This window comes from Homo sapiens, chromosome 21 (genome assembly GCF_000001405.40).
Source record: "Homo sapiens chromosome 21, GRCh38.p14 Primary Assembly".
Classification (NCBI taxonomy): domain Eukaryota; kingdom Metazoa; phylum Chordata; class Mammalia; order Primates; family Hominidae; genus Homo; species Homo sapiens.
In genome coordinates this window covers 6,825,514-6,840,105 of record NC_000021.9, presented here as the reverse complement: position 1 = coordinate 6,840,105, position 14,592 = coordinate 6,825,514, and the positions used below count along the sequence as shown (strand labels likewise).

Genomic DNA, 14,592 nt, shown 5'->3' with positions numbered 1-14,592 from the left:
TCCTCCGGCCGCAGCGCCTCGAGCCGCAGGGCGACACAGAACGCGCCCAGGGCCACCGGGAGGCGGTCGGCGCGGGCCAGCGCGTTCCCCAGCCTCAGGCACTGACCGCGGTCGGGCTGCGCCAGCCGGGCCAGCGTGGAGCGGAAGAGCCCGGCTGCTTTCTGGTACTCGCTCTGGCGGAAGGCCTCGTCGCCCACCTCCAATCGCTGGGCGATCGGCTCCCCGCAGTCGCAGCCCGGACACTGGGGCGGCGGCGGGACCGGCTCAGTGCTGATTCCCGCGGGGCTGCGCCCCTGCGGGCCTGGAGCGAAGGCGTGGAGCAGGGGCAATGCGCTGCTGCTGGGAACTGGCCGGCGGGAGCACGGCCACAGCCTTCGCCTGCAGAACGAAAAAAGCGTTTTAAAAATCCTTTTAACATCCGCAGAACGATTTTTAAAACCTTTTTTAACATCTCTGAAGAATTACATTGGAAATTTGTTAGAGATTGTATTGGACCTATAGACTGATTTGAGTATGATGGTCATTTTAACAGTATTAATACTTCTAATTCATAAAAATGGGATAACTTTCCCTTTATTTGTATCTTTTTCAATTGATTTTTATCAATGTTTTATAGTTTTCATTTTAGACATATTTATTTGGCTTAGTTTATTCCCAGGCATTTTTTTATAGCTATTTTAAATGGGATTGGTTTCTTGATTCCTTTTTCAGATGGTATGCTGTTGGGTATAGAAATGCGACTGATTTTTCTATGCTGATTTTGTATTCTAAAACTTTACTGTATTCATTTACTATTTCTGTTTTTTCAGTAGAGTATTTAGGGTTTTTTATACATAAGATCATGTCATCTGCAAACAGGGACAATTTGACTTTATTTTTGTTTTTCAATTTGGATGTCTTTTCTTTTGCTGGCCTAATTGCTCTGGCTAGGACTTCCAGTGCTATGTTGAAGAGAAGTTATTAAAGTGAACATCCTTGTCTTGTTCTAGACCTTAGAGACACAGTTTTCAATTTTTCCTTATTCAGTATCATGTTGGCTGTGGGTTATCATATATGGCCTTTATTTTATGGAGCTATGTTCTTTTTATAACTAATTTGTTAAGAGATCTTATGTTTACAAAAAACATTGAATTTTGTCAAATACTTTTTCTGTATCTATTTAAATGACTATTTTTTTATCTTCCCTTATCAAATGTGGTGTATCACATTTATTGATTGACATATCATAAGCCCTCCTTGCCTCCCTGGAACAAATACAACCTGATTATGGTGAATCATCTTTTTAATGCACTTCCAAATTATGATTGCTAGCATTGCTGGTTTTGAATTGTTGCATTCATGTTCATCAGTGATATTGGCCTGTAGTTTAGTTTTTTACTGTTCTTGTCTCATTTTGGAATATGGTAATTGTGTCTTCATAGAATGAGTTTGGAAGAGTTTCCTCCTTTTCACTTTTTTTGTAATAATTTGTAAATAATTACTATAAGTTCCTCTTTAAATGTTTTGAAGAATTCAGCAGTGTAAGCATCGGATCCTGAACTTTACTTTTCTTTTCTTTTCTTTCTTTCTTTTTCTTTCTTTCTTTCTCTCTTTCTTTCTTTCTTTCTTTCTTTCTTTCTTTCTTTCTTTCTCTTTCTTTCTTTCTCTTTCTTTCTTTTGTTCTTTCTTTCTTCTTCTTCTTCTTATTAAATATTTTTGGTTTAGAGACAGGGTCTTCCTCTGTCACTCAGGCTGGAGTGCAGTGGTGCAATCATAGCTCACTGCAGCCTCAAATTCCTGGACTTCAGTGATCCTCCTGCCTCAGCCTCCCGTTGTTAGGACTGCAAGTGCACACCACTACACCTGGCTAATTTTTATTTTTATTTTTGTAAAGACTGGGTCTCACTATGTTCCCCAGGCTAATCTGGAACTTCTGGCTTCAAGTAATCCTCTTGCCATGGCCTCCAAAGTGTGAGTTTACATGTGTGAGATACTGTGACAGGCCCTCCAGATTTTCTTGTATTGAGAGACAATGCTTCAATCTCATTATTTGTTATTGGTCTGTTTGCATTTTGTGTTTCTTCATTCTTCAATTTTGATAGGTTATATGTGTTCAGAAACTTATTTATTTCTTCTATGTTTTCTAATTTATTGGCATATAATTGTAGTACTTTCTCATGATTCTTTGTATTTCTGTAGTAACCATTTCAATGTCTTTTTTCATCTGATTTTATTTATGTGAATCTTCTCTTTTTCTTAATCTGACTAAATACATATCGATTGTGTTTATCTTTTCAAAAAATAACTTTTCATTTCATTGATCTTTCATATTTTTGTCTCCATTTTGTTTATTTGTGCTCTATTCTTTATTATTTGTATTCTTTTTTACCAATTTGGGGCTTAGTTTGTTCATGTTTCTATGATTCCTTGAAATACATTCTTAAGTTATTAATGAGAGTTTTCTTTTTTTCATATAGAAATGTATTTCTGCAAACTTCCCTCTGAGGACTTTTTTTGCTGTATTTCTTAAGTTTTTATATGTTCTGATTTCATTTTCATTTGTCTTAAGAAATTTTAAAATGAAACAAAATTTATTTTTTAACCCATTGTTTAAGGACACATTGTTTAATTTGTATGTATTTGCACAATTTCTGAAGTTCTTGTTGTTTATTTCTAGTTTTATTCTATATTGTCAGAAAAGACGTGATATAATTTTGATCTTTTTTGAATTTGCTAAGGCTCATTTTGTGCCTAATATATGATCCATCATGGAAAATGTTCCATGCGCAGTAGAGAAGACTGTGAATTATGCAATTGTTGGATAACATGTTCTGTAAATGACTACTAAGTTATTTGGTCTAGAGTTCATTTTAAATATGATGTTTCTTTGTTGATCTTCTGTCTTGATAATCTGTTTATTGCTGAAAGTGGAATGTTTAGATTTCTTACTATTATTTTATTGCTTGCTGTTTCTCCTGTTAGATCTATTAATGTTTGGTTTATATATTTAGGGGCTTCAATATAGAGGGCATATATATTTACAATTATATTATCTTGTGATATTGACCCCTTTATCATTATATAATGGCCATATTTGTCTGTTTTTATAGGATTTTGCTTGAAGTATATGTTATCTGATATAAATATATCTATACCGGCTTTCTTTTGGTTTCCATATTTATGAAATATATTTTTCCATCTGATCACTTTCAATTTATGTGTGTATTTACAGATGAAGTGAATTTCCTGTAGAAAGTTTATAGTTAGGTCTTGTTTTTAATCAGTGTAGCCATTATATGTCTTAAATGGGATAATCCATTTACATACAAGATAATTATTCATAGGCAAGGACTTGGTCCTGCCATATTATTACTTGTTTTCATGTTTTTTAAAAATTTATACTTTGATTGATTGATTGATTTCACTATCTTCCTTTGTGATTAAGTGATTTACTCTATCAGTGTGTTTCGGTTTCTTTTTTTTTTAATTTTTAAAGTATCTATTAAAAGTTTTTGCTTTGTGGTTACCACAAGGCATGCAAAGAACATTTTATGGTTACAGTAAGTTATTTTAAAGAGATAGCAACTTAATTTTGATTCAAAAAAAGGGGAAAAGAAACCACTCTACTCTTTAACTTCATCACTCCCTCACATTTTGCATTTTTGATGTCTTAATTTACATCTTTGTATATTTCTATTCCTTAACAAATTATTGTAATTATTATTTTATTTGTATTGTATTTTAACCTTCCTACTAAGGATATATAAGTGGTTTACATCCAATTATTACCATATTAGAGCATTCCAAATTTGTCTGAATCCTCACTTCTATCTGTGGGTTTATACCTTCAGATTTTTTGTGCTACATATTGCTGCCATTTCCTTTCAGTTTGAAGAACAATATTTAGCATTTCTTGTAAGGCTTGTTTGATTACAATGAATTCCTTTGCTTTTTGTTTGTCTGAGAATGTTTCAATCTCTCCTTTATTTCTAAATGATAGCTATGCTGGATACTTTATTCATGGTTGACAGTTTTTTTAATTCAGCACTTGAATCTATTATCCTACTCTCTCCTGGCCTGTAGTGCTTCTGCTGAGAAGTCTGCTGCCAGGCATAATGGAATTCTCTTATGTGTTGTTTCCTTTTTCTTAGTCCTTTCAGGGTCTTCTCTTTGTCTTTGACCTTTGAGAGTTTAATTATAATATGTCTTTGGTTGTCTTATTCAGATTAAATATGATTGGGCACTTTGACCATCCTAAACATTTTAATCTTTCTCCAGGTTTAAAAAGTTTTCTGTTATTTCTTTGAATAAACTATCTCTTTTTCATTCTTAGTTCCACTTTAACACCAATGATATGTAGATTTCCTCTTTTGTTGGTGTCCCACAAATCTCATAAACTTTCTTTGTTTCTTTTCATTCTTTTTTTTCATTTTACTCTGACCATGTATTTTCAAAGAGCCTGTTGTTTGAGCTCAATGTTTCTTTCTTCTGCTTGATCAGTTCTTCCTTCTGTTGATGCCTTCCGTTGGATTTTCAATGTGTTCATTGAACTTTCCTGCTCCAGGGTTTACATGTGATTTTTCCCATTATTTTGATTTCTTTGTTGAATTTCTCTGGTAAATTTCTGAATTGTGTCTCTGCTTCTCAGTGTTCAGGCTCTTCTTAAGACAGCCATTTTGAATTATTTGCCTGCCAGATCATTCATCTGTATGTCTTTAAGTTCAGTTGCTGACACCTTGTTTTGTCCATTTGGAGAGGGAACTTTTCCTAAGCTATCATTATTATATGTAGATATACATCTCTGTCTACACATTGATGAATTAGATGTTTATTTGAGTCTTCTCAGTCTGGGTTTGCTTGTGACTACTTTTAAGTGGGCCTATTAAGAAATTTTGAGTGGACTTATCATCGTATTCCAGTTTAACGTTAGAGAGAGCCCAAATCCCATGTTAGACGTAAGTCTTCCAATGGCTCCACTGATGCAACATTTGCTGGCTGGGCCCATGGGTGATCCACAGGGAGCCCCTGGCTATGGGGGAGAACAAGTCAGGCCGTCAAGCCTGTAGAGTCTGTGTATTATGTTTCACATGGTGGCTGTTGCTGGCCCCACCTCCTCTTATGTCATTAACATGCCTCAGGTGGTTCATCCCTTTTGGCACTCATGGTGCCACTTGTGGGCTGATACAGGAGTGAGGCTACTGTGAAAGAACTCAATATAGTGGAAAAAACAAATATCAAACTCCTGCTCACTTTCTTCAGTGTAAAAACTATAAGCCCTGTGGGAGTTTCTGCAGATGGTACCATAACGGCCTGAGGGAAGAGTATCACAGTCACAGAGTATTGGTTCTCTCACTGCATAAGCCATGGTTTCACCCATCTTCACAGGCTAAAGGTGCTTCATAACCTTGTTCATGTATTGAGGTTCTGTTGGCTCTTGTAATGGTAATTTCACATGTGGACAGTTGTTCATATTGATGTTTCTATAGGGGTACGATAGCTGGAGAGGTCTGCACCACTGTCTTGCTCTGCCTCAATCATTTTTTTTTTCTAACAAGAATTTGTCTTCTCCTAGTTTTTCTTTTTCTCTTAACTGACCTAGGTTTAGCCTTGTAATCCTTCTCCCTCCTCTGCTTCTAATGTCATTGTTTCTTTGTATTCCTATCATATCTACATGCTACATGACCTTCAGCTGGTTATGTATAATATATAAGACTTAATATCCTATAAAATAGAGATAATAATAGCATCTACTTGATAGGAAAGTTAAGAATATTAAATGACACCATTGATGTTAAATGGAGGTAACTTTCTGAAATGTATTAATAAGACATTATTCTTTGTTCTAGTCTTCACTTTATACACTAGACTACTTTATTCGAGTTTTCTTCTTTCAGTCAGAGAAAGAAATAAAATTGTAATAGTAAAAATTAAATAAAATTTAATTTAAAATTGTGTTCTTGTCTTCTCGTTGTTCAGCCATGGAAAGCAATAAAATTGTTATAGCAGAAATTAAAAGTGAGCAGAGACTTATTTAAAAATTGGTGTTCTGCTTTTCAATGCCAAAATAAGAACTAGAAACTTTTAATAAGGCAATGGTCTGAAGAAACAATTTATTGAAGAGAATATGGGTTTCTACATCCTAAGAAGTTTTTTTACGTATGTGAGTCGAGTTTGGCTGCCTTGAATCCTACTATGACTTTAATGGAAGTTCTAGTTAGGGTGGAAAGTGTCAAAGAAAACAATTGCACCAGACAAAGTTAAACACATAAAAAAGCTGTTATTGAAGGCTATTGCAAAAGGACAAAGAGGCCAGAACTTAGTCTGAACTCAGCTCCACTGAAACAAACAGCAGTAGAGATTTTAAGAGCTGGGATGAGGGGGTGATCATAGGCCACTTGTTTTTGACAGTTGTCTTTTTCCAAAGGAACATTAAACTATCTTATCTTTATGACAGAAGGTAATTTTACAAATCAGAGCAATATGCCCACCATAATTTGGCTCTTACTCTCTTATGGAGTCTGGGAGATAATGGTGTTATCTTTCTTGAGGATTACATTTCAAAGGAATGGCTCTGAGGTCCTTGAAATGGACATTTCTGAAGTGTAAAACTGGCAGATGGGCTCTTAAAAAGATTTATATATCAAAGAGGCAGAGAGAGAATTTACAATGATAACATTTCTAAAATATGCTAATAAAAGAGGCCAGGAGCCAAGAATCAGAAATAATCCTGTCTAAAATTTTATCAAGCTGAGGGGATGGTTTCAGTCAAAGGTTTAGTGTAAGGGGAATTTCTATGAACAAGAGGAAGAGAAGAGCTTTTAATTACACAGGAAGAAGAAAGTTCCCAGGAGATGTGACTATGGCTCTGCCTGTGTCTCTGATCAGGTATTCAGCCCCAACATCTTCCTGGGACTCACTCATACAGATAGATAGGAAAAAATAGACAGTTAAAGAAAGATGAGAAAATATGCAGGCTGATGTCTTACTTCTCTAGTGCACATAGGGTGTTCCAGGAATGACAGAGTGGCAGGACAGGGGGAAGTGCCTAAGAGATCAATTCCCTTACTCTCAGCTTGTGAGTGCTGTCTGAAAAGCCAGTCTCTCCAAGCTTGGTGGGAGGGGGACTCACAACTGGTTTGACAGGGCCAGTGGAGGCCCCTGGTGGGACATGCTGGCCTCAGAATGTGAGGTCTTGGTGGCTAGAGGAAAATGGCAGGTGACCAGAAACTTCATCAGTGGGTGACAATACATGCAAAATCAAAGAGAAGATGAGCCATGCCAGCAGATATCTGTGAAGAATGCCCAGAGAAGACTACATTGACCATGCACAGCACAGACCAGCCTGTACCAGAGGACGGTGCAAATGGCACGCCGCAGCAACAGAGGCGACTTCGACCCCGCCCACGCCACCAGCAGCTCGGACCCTAGGGTCAGATACCACCACAGAGGCTAATTCCAGTGGTCGCCCCGCATCTCAGGAAGACGGGAACCTGCACTCAGCACCATCCCCGTGGCTGCACAGGGCCCAGGACCCGTAACCCGGCGCTCTGGGTGCGGGCCAAGAGCGTAACCTAGGGTGGCATGTCGGTGAACTCGGCGACCCTCTAACAACCTGGGAGCAGCCCCAACAGCCTCAATTGTGGGCTCATCTGCAACTGCCACCTGCCGATGGCGCACGGGAGCAGCAGTGGCAACCCTTGACCCTGTCCCCACCACCAGCAGCGTCGACAGCAGGGCCAGATAGCGCCGCGGCGCCTAAGACCTTAGGCCACGCAGCTGCAGGAGGACGTGAAACTGGCGCTGACCGGCCCCCAGAAGCTATGCAGTCCCCAGCGCAGGCCAGTCCGCACTCTGGGCGCGGGCCAAAGATCAGATACTATGATGAAAGGACGGTGAACTTGGTGACCCTGAGGCTCGCAATGGGTTTAGCAGCAGCTGCCACCTGCAACCAACCCTGACCCTGCCCGCGTCACCAGCTGCAGTAACCCAGGGCCAGATGCCGCCTCAGCGGCTAGTGCAGGTAATCGTCCTCCAGCTGCAGCAGGGAGGAAATCCGCTGCTCAGCCCCATCTCGGCGGCTGCACAGAGCCCAGCGCCGGCACAGAGCCCAGAGCCCGCACAACCCGCTCTGGGTAAGGGCAAAGGAAGAGCGGACCTAGGGTGGGAGGACCCTGCACTCCCTGACCCTCAGGCCGTCTGGGGCCAGCCCTGCCAGCCTCGGTCTAAAGCTCCGCTGCAGCTGCTACCTGCTCATGGAGCGCAGCGGTGGCAAACCCGGACTCCGCCCACCAACACCAGCGGCCTCGAAACCCTAGAGCCAGACTCCACCTAGTGGCCAAAATCAGGCAGTCGGCCCACAGCTGTAGGAGAGCGGGAACGTGCCCTTCAGCGGATTCCGGGAGGCTGCACAGTGCCCAGCGCAGCCACCCGGATCTGGGCGCGGGCAAATGGCCCTCAGGCCGTCTGGGACCGGACCAGCCCTGCAGCCTCAGCGGTGGGCTCAGGGGCGGCTGCCACGTGCACACGGTGAACTATAGCAGCTGTGGCAGCCCCCGACCCTGTGCAAGCCACCGGCAGTGCGGATCCCATGACCAAAAGCCGCCGCGGCGCATAACTCAGGCTGTCGGCCCCGCAGCAGCCAGAGGGCGGAAACTTTCAGCTTAGCCCCATCCCAGCACCTGCACTGTGCTCAGCGCCTGCAATCCAACTCTCTGGGCGCGGGCAAGGAAGACTGGACCTTAGGGTGGGAGGGCGGTGCATTCGGGGACCCTCAAGGCTTCTGGAATAAGGCCTTCCAGCCTCCGCCACGGGCTCAGCTGCAGCTGCCAGCTGCACACTCCTGGAAGCAGCAGCGGTGGCAGCTCTGTTCTCTGCCAGCTCCAGCAGCAGCGCGGACCGCAGAGCCAGAGGTCACTGCAGCGCCTGTTATGAGATTGGCTTCTCAGCTGCAGGAGGGCGGGAATCTGCACCCAACCAGATCCTCATGGCTGCACAGTGTCCAACGCCCACAACCCTGCAATCTGGGAGCCGGCCTAGGAATAACGGACCCTGGGGTGGAAGGGTGGTGCACTCAGCCACCCTTAGGCAACCTCAGACCAGCCCTGACAGCATCTGCCTCGGACTCAGCTGCAGCTGGCACCTGCCCATGGCGCACAGCAGTAGTAGTGGCAGCCGTGACCCTGCCCGCAGACACCAGCAGCAAGACCCCAGGACCGGATGCCTCCAAGGCATCTAAGTCAGGTGGTCGGTCCCATAGCGCTGGGGATTGCAGCGGTCGCCCGCTGCAGCAGGGCGAGAATCGGCTGCTCAGCCCCATAGCAGCTGTGGCAGCCCCCATCTCTGTCCATGCCACCCAGTAGCACGTACCCCAGGGCCAGATACTGCGGTGGCGCCTAATTCAGACTGTAGCTGCAGCAGGGCAGGAATCCGCTGCTCAGCCCCATCCTGGAGGCTGCTCAGAGTCTAGCCCTCGTACACCGCGTCCTGGGAGCAGGCTAAGGAAGAGCAGACCCTAGGGTGGTAGGGCGATGCACCCAGAGACCCTCAGGGTGTCTGGGACCAGCCCTGCCAGTCTCTGCCACGCGCTCACTTGCAGCTACCACCGCCAGGTGGCTCCCACCAGCAGCGATGGAAACCCCGCTGACCTTGCCCGCCGCCAACAGCAGTGAGGATTCCACTGCTGGATCCCTTGCCAGGGCGGGAACCTGCCGCTCAGCCTATTCTGGGCAGCTGCACAGGGCCCAGCGCCTGAAACCCCGAGCTCTGGGCTCGGGCCAAGGAAGAGTGGACCCTAGGCTGGGAGGGCAGTGCACTCGGCGATCCTCACGCTTTCTAGGACCAACCCTGCCGGCCCCTACTGAGAACTCAGCTACAGCTGCCACCTGTACAACGGCGCCGCAGCAGCAGAGCAACCGGGCACTTTGCCTGCACCACCAAGAGCCAGGACACCAGGGACAACGCCGCCTCAGCGCCTAATTCAGGCAGTCAGCCCCGCAGCTGCAGCAGGGCAGAAACCTTTGCCCTCGGCCCAGTCCCCTTGGCGGCACAGTTCCCAGTGCCCGCGACCCGGAACTCTGGGAGCAGGCAAAGGAAGAGCGGACTCCAGGCTGGGACAGTGGTCCACTCCATGACCCTGAGGCTGTCTGGGAAACCCTTGCCTGCACATGGCGCGCGCAGCAGCCTTGGAGGCAACCCCAGACCGTGCTCCTACACCAGCCAGGCGGATCCCAGGGCCAGACCTCGCCCAGCGGCTAATTCAGGTGGTCAGGCCCCAGCTGCAGGAGGGCGGGAACAGGCCGCTCAGCCATTTCCTGGCTGCTGCCCTGTACCCAGCGCCTGCACACCCCGCTATGGGTGCCGGCAAGAAAGAGCTGACTCTAGGGTGAAAGGGCCCTGCACTTAGAGACCCCCAGGCTGTCTGGGACCAGCCCTGCCTGCTTCTGCTGTAGGTTCAGCTGCAGTGGTAACCTGCACAAGGCGCGCAGCAGCAGCTGTGGCAAACTCTGACCCTGCCAGTGCCACCAGCAGTGCGGACCCTTGGGCCAGAAGCCTCCACAGCGCCTAAGTCAGGGTATTGGTCCCCAGCTGCAGGAGGGCAGGAACTGGCGCTCAGCCCCACCTTAGAGGCTGCATGGTGCCCAGAGCCAGGGCCCAGCTCTTCTAGCGCAGGTTGTGGAGGGGCCAGGGGCCACCCAGGCTGGAGGGCAGTGTCATGATCACAGCTCACTGAAGCCTCAATCTCCCAGATTCAAGGTATGCTGTCACCTCAGCCTCCTGATTAGCTGGTAGCTGGGACTACAGGCAGGTGCCATCATGCCTGGCTGTTATATTTTATATATATTTTGGAGAGACAGGGTCTTACCATGTTGCCCAGGCAGGTCTTGAACGCCTGGAGTTCAAGCGATCCTCCCAACTTGACCTTCCTCAGTGGTGGGATTATATGTTTGAGCCACTCTGCCCTACCTGCCGCTTTTCTTATAAGGATACTTGTCATTGGATTTAGGGCCCATCCTAATCCAAGATGAGATGCCCTCATCTCAAGGTGCTGGATTTAATTACATCTGCAGATTGTTTTCCAAATAAAGGCACATTCACAAGTTCCAGGTAGACATATCTTTTGATAGACCACCATGCAATCCACTCTAGGAGTATTAAAGTGCCAGTGTGGACTGAGGCACCAAAGAATCACATTATTATGTCATATAACTTGCCTTATTCATAGTGACCCATGGGCTTGGAAACAGAACCACTTGCAGCTGTCAGGGAAGTAAGTGCACAGTGCCTGACCTTTCCTGCAGCCTCCTCCCCACTGGTCTTCCATGAGAAGATCACCCCTTGAGAGTGTCGAGAGATTCCTGTTAAATGCTAAAGACCACAGGAGAGTTTGGGAGGGGGAAGATGTTTGGGGAGCCGCTTAGTTGTCCTGAGGTGCCCATCACCCTTCACCATTTCAGCAATATGGATCTTCCAAGGATCTGGGAATGGGAACCAGGCATAAGACAGATACATGTGGGTGAGAAGAGGCCAGAGTCTTTCTCTGTGTAGGTACCATCCAGCCCAAGATGAGCATTGCTGCAGAAACACATGCACTCATGATGCTAAACCCAATCTATTGAGGACTTAATACAAACTGCGATTTTTTTAAAGCATTTAATTCTTACCACAGTCCTTTGTCATCTTATTGTCTCCATTTTACAGATAAAGAAACAGGCACAGAGGGTTTAAGTAACATGTACGAGGTCACACAATCACAGCTAGTAAAGCCAGGATTAAAGTCCAGTCAGTCGGCATTCAAAGCCTGTGCTCCTGCCCCAAAATGACAAGTAATGACTTAAAGGCAAGAAAAACAGACCCTCCTCTACCCACCATCCTCATACACAGCCTTCCAGCCCAGGATCTGAGCCATTCATTCATTTGCTCTCATATTCATTCATTCATTCATTCATTCATTCAGTTCTTCATCATACATTTAGTGAAGCTCTGTCATGGAATGTCCACACAGAAGGTACAAAAATGAGGCAGGTGTATTTTCTCCCATCTAAAGGGGGATGACCACGTGAAGAGAACTGATGGGCTGCGTGTCCAGTGGCCTTACGGGGCAGTGGTGGAGGGTGGCCCAGGTCATCCACTCTCTGGGGAGGCAGAACCAGAAGCACCAGTTGGACAACTGCTAAAGAGATGTTTATGCAGGCTTATATATTAAGTCCTATATTTTGAAAGCTTTTTAAATTTTTTCTTTAAGATTTTAGATGCTTACCACTGAGTACCAGAGGGATGTAGCCTGATGCCCTTATCAACAAAGTCAGGGATGGTGGCACACAAGGTTTGACTACTGCATACACGGTCACAGCGCTACCTCCAGATGGCCTGAATTCCCCTGCCCTCTCTAGTGGGGAGAAGAGCTGGCAGAGCCATTAGCATGGGCTTCAGCCAATCCTGGCCACTTTGATGCTCCTGGTGCTGACCCAGGGTCCTGGAGGATGGGCTGAGGTGGGGGGTAGAGATGTTCAGGGCAGCGGCCCCTTTCCATCCACCCTGGAACTATTTCAGTATTTCACCACCAATTCATCTATTCCCTTGTGCACTGGCTGAACATCAGCCCTGCTCCAGGTCTCAGTTTTCCCTTTGTAAAGGGAAAGCTCTGGATTCAGGGGTGATGAGAGGCCATCATGGTCTTGAGATTCCAGGCCTGTAGGCAGGGGGTGAGAGGTTCACTAGGAGTGCAGAAGACCAAGGTTGGGGAGAAGCAGAGGAGAGAGTGGCCTCCCTTTGGCCCAGGTGGGAGGTTCACAAAGACACCCTTCCTTCTTCTCCAAGGCAGGACTTGTTAACAGTGAGCTTCAGGCAGTCTGGCACTTGGGACTAACTAGGATGTCACCCTCCCTGCAGCCTCCACTCCATAGACAACATGAGAAGAGTGTGTAAGTATAACTAGGAACAGGCTAGTGTCCTGATATTCTCTGTGATGGAGGGGACAATCCTCCTCAGAGACCCAAGGGAGCCCAGAACCATGGACAGCCTGAACACACTTTACTTTCTCAGCAGTGACAATCAGAACCCTGGCTTACAAAAGCAGAAATTAAAAGGAGAAAAACCTAAATTCCTGCCTGTACCAGGCTGACTCACTCCAAGGCCCTGCTAGGACTAAGCTAACTTTATGTACAAGGTCAAGCAGAGCACAGAAGGAACGGACTCCAGGAACGGGGATGAGAAAAATAAGTTCTTCTTATCAGCTTCCCCCTTTGAGATTCTTTCCTAGGCCAGTATGTCTTTGCTCTGCTCTCATAATTATTTTTGTAACTATTTCTGTAAGTTTGTAAGGATTTTGTAAGTTCCTGTTTTCCATCTGTGCAACACTGAGAAGGTCACAAGACATGCCTGAGCAAGCCTAAAATAGTGACCATCCACTGAGAGCCTGCTGGGCAGCCCAGCAGAGGTCACCAGGCATGTTTGAGTCATACACCTGTCACTGTTTGATTAACTGCCTTTGTTCTGCTTCTATAAGCTTGCCATCCCGCCCTGTGAGTTTCACGCAGCTGCATGCTTAAAAACCAGGCCCCATCTTTGTTCGGAGCTCAGCCTTTTGGATGCGAATCCACTAGGCCAGTGGCCACTTTAATAAAATCCTCCTGTCTCATCCATTGGTCTCTCCAGTCTCTTGAATCCCGCAATGCTACAATGGCTCCAAGACAGCATGTGGGATCTAAGTAATAACTTTTTTGTTTGTTTGTTTTTATTTTTGTATATTTTGTATATTTGTTTATATTTTTGTATAAGACTGGGTCTGGCTTTTTCACCCAGGCTGGAGTGCAGTGGTGCAATCACAGCTCACTGCAGCCACCTCCTGGTCTCAAGCCACCCTCCCACCTCAGCCTCCCAAGTAACTTAGGACTACAGTTCTATACCACTATGGTTGGCTAATTTTTGCATTTTTTGCAGACACAAGGTCTCACTATATTGCTCAGGTTGGTTTCAAATTCTTGAGCTCAAGAGGTTTACTAGTCTCAGCTTTCTAATGTGCTAGGATTACAGGCATGAGACACCGTGCCTGGCCAGTAATTTTGTTTTATTATATTAAGGTGAGGTTTATACCACATTCTTCTGGTTACAGAAGTAATACATGCTCATTGTATACACTGAAAAATGTAAGCAGTATAAAGAAGAAAATAAAAAAGAATATGAAAATCATTAGTGGTCCCATTGCCTACCATAACATTATGTGCTGCTTTCTAATCTTTACTTCCTCTCCCTCCATGTGTGTCTTTGTGTGTGTGTGTGTGTGTCTGTCTGTGTGGTTTTTTGTTTTTTTTTTTTGGCACATAGTACAATAGCTGACATTTATATCTCTCTGACCAGTGTTGAGCATGGTGTTAAGCAATTGACAAAGTGTATTGTATTTAACTCCTACAGAAAATCTAAAAAGGGGAAGGGCAGTATAATTAATAGAATTTTCCAGATGAAAAGACTGGGGCCTGAGTTGAGGTCACATTTTATATACAGCATTATATTGTACTTCAGACATGTAACACAGTAAGTGTCCTGGAGAATCTTGGTCTCTTAGTCTGTATAATAACATAAGCATCTTTTGTGGGATTAATAGTTTTTCCAAAGCAT

General features: G+C 45.1%; 1 annotated feature.

Annotated features, from left to right (window-relative positions):
• Positions 1-14,592: part of a sequence alteration artifact (region identified as an assembly artifact by the Genome Reference Consortium. This region falsely duplicates sequence located at GRCh38 chr21:13654079-13799312) that runs on past both edges of the window.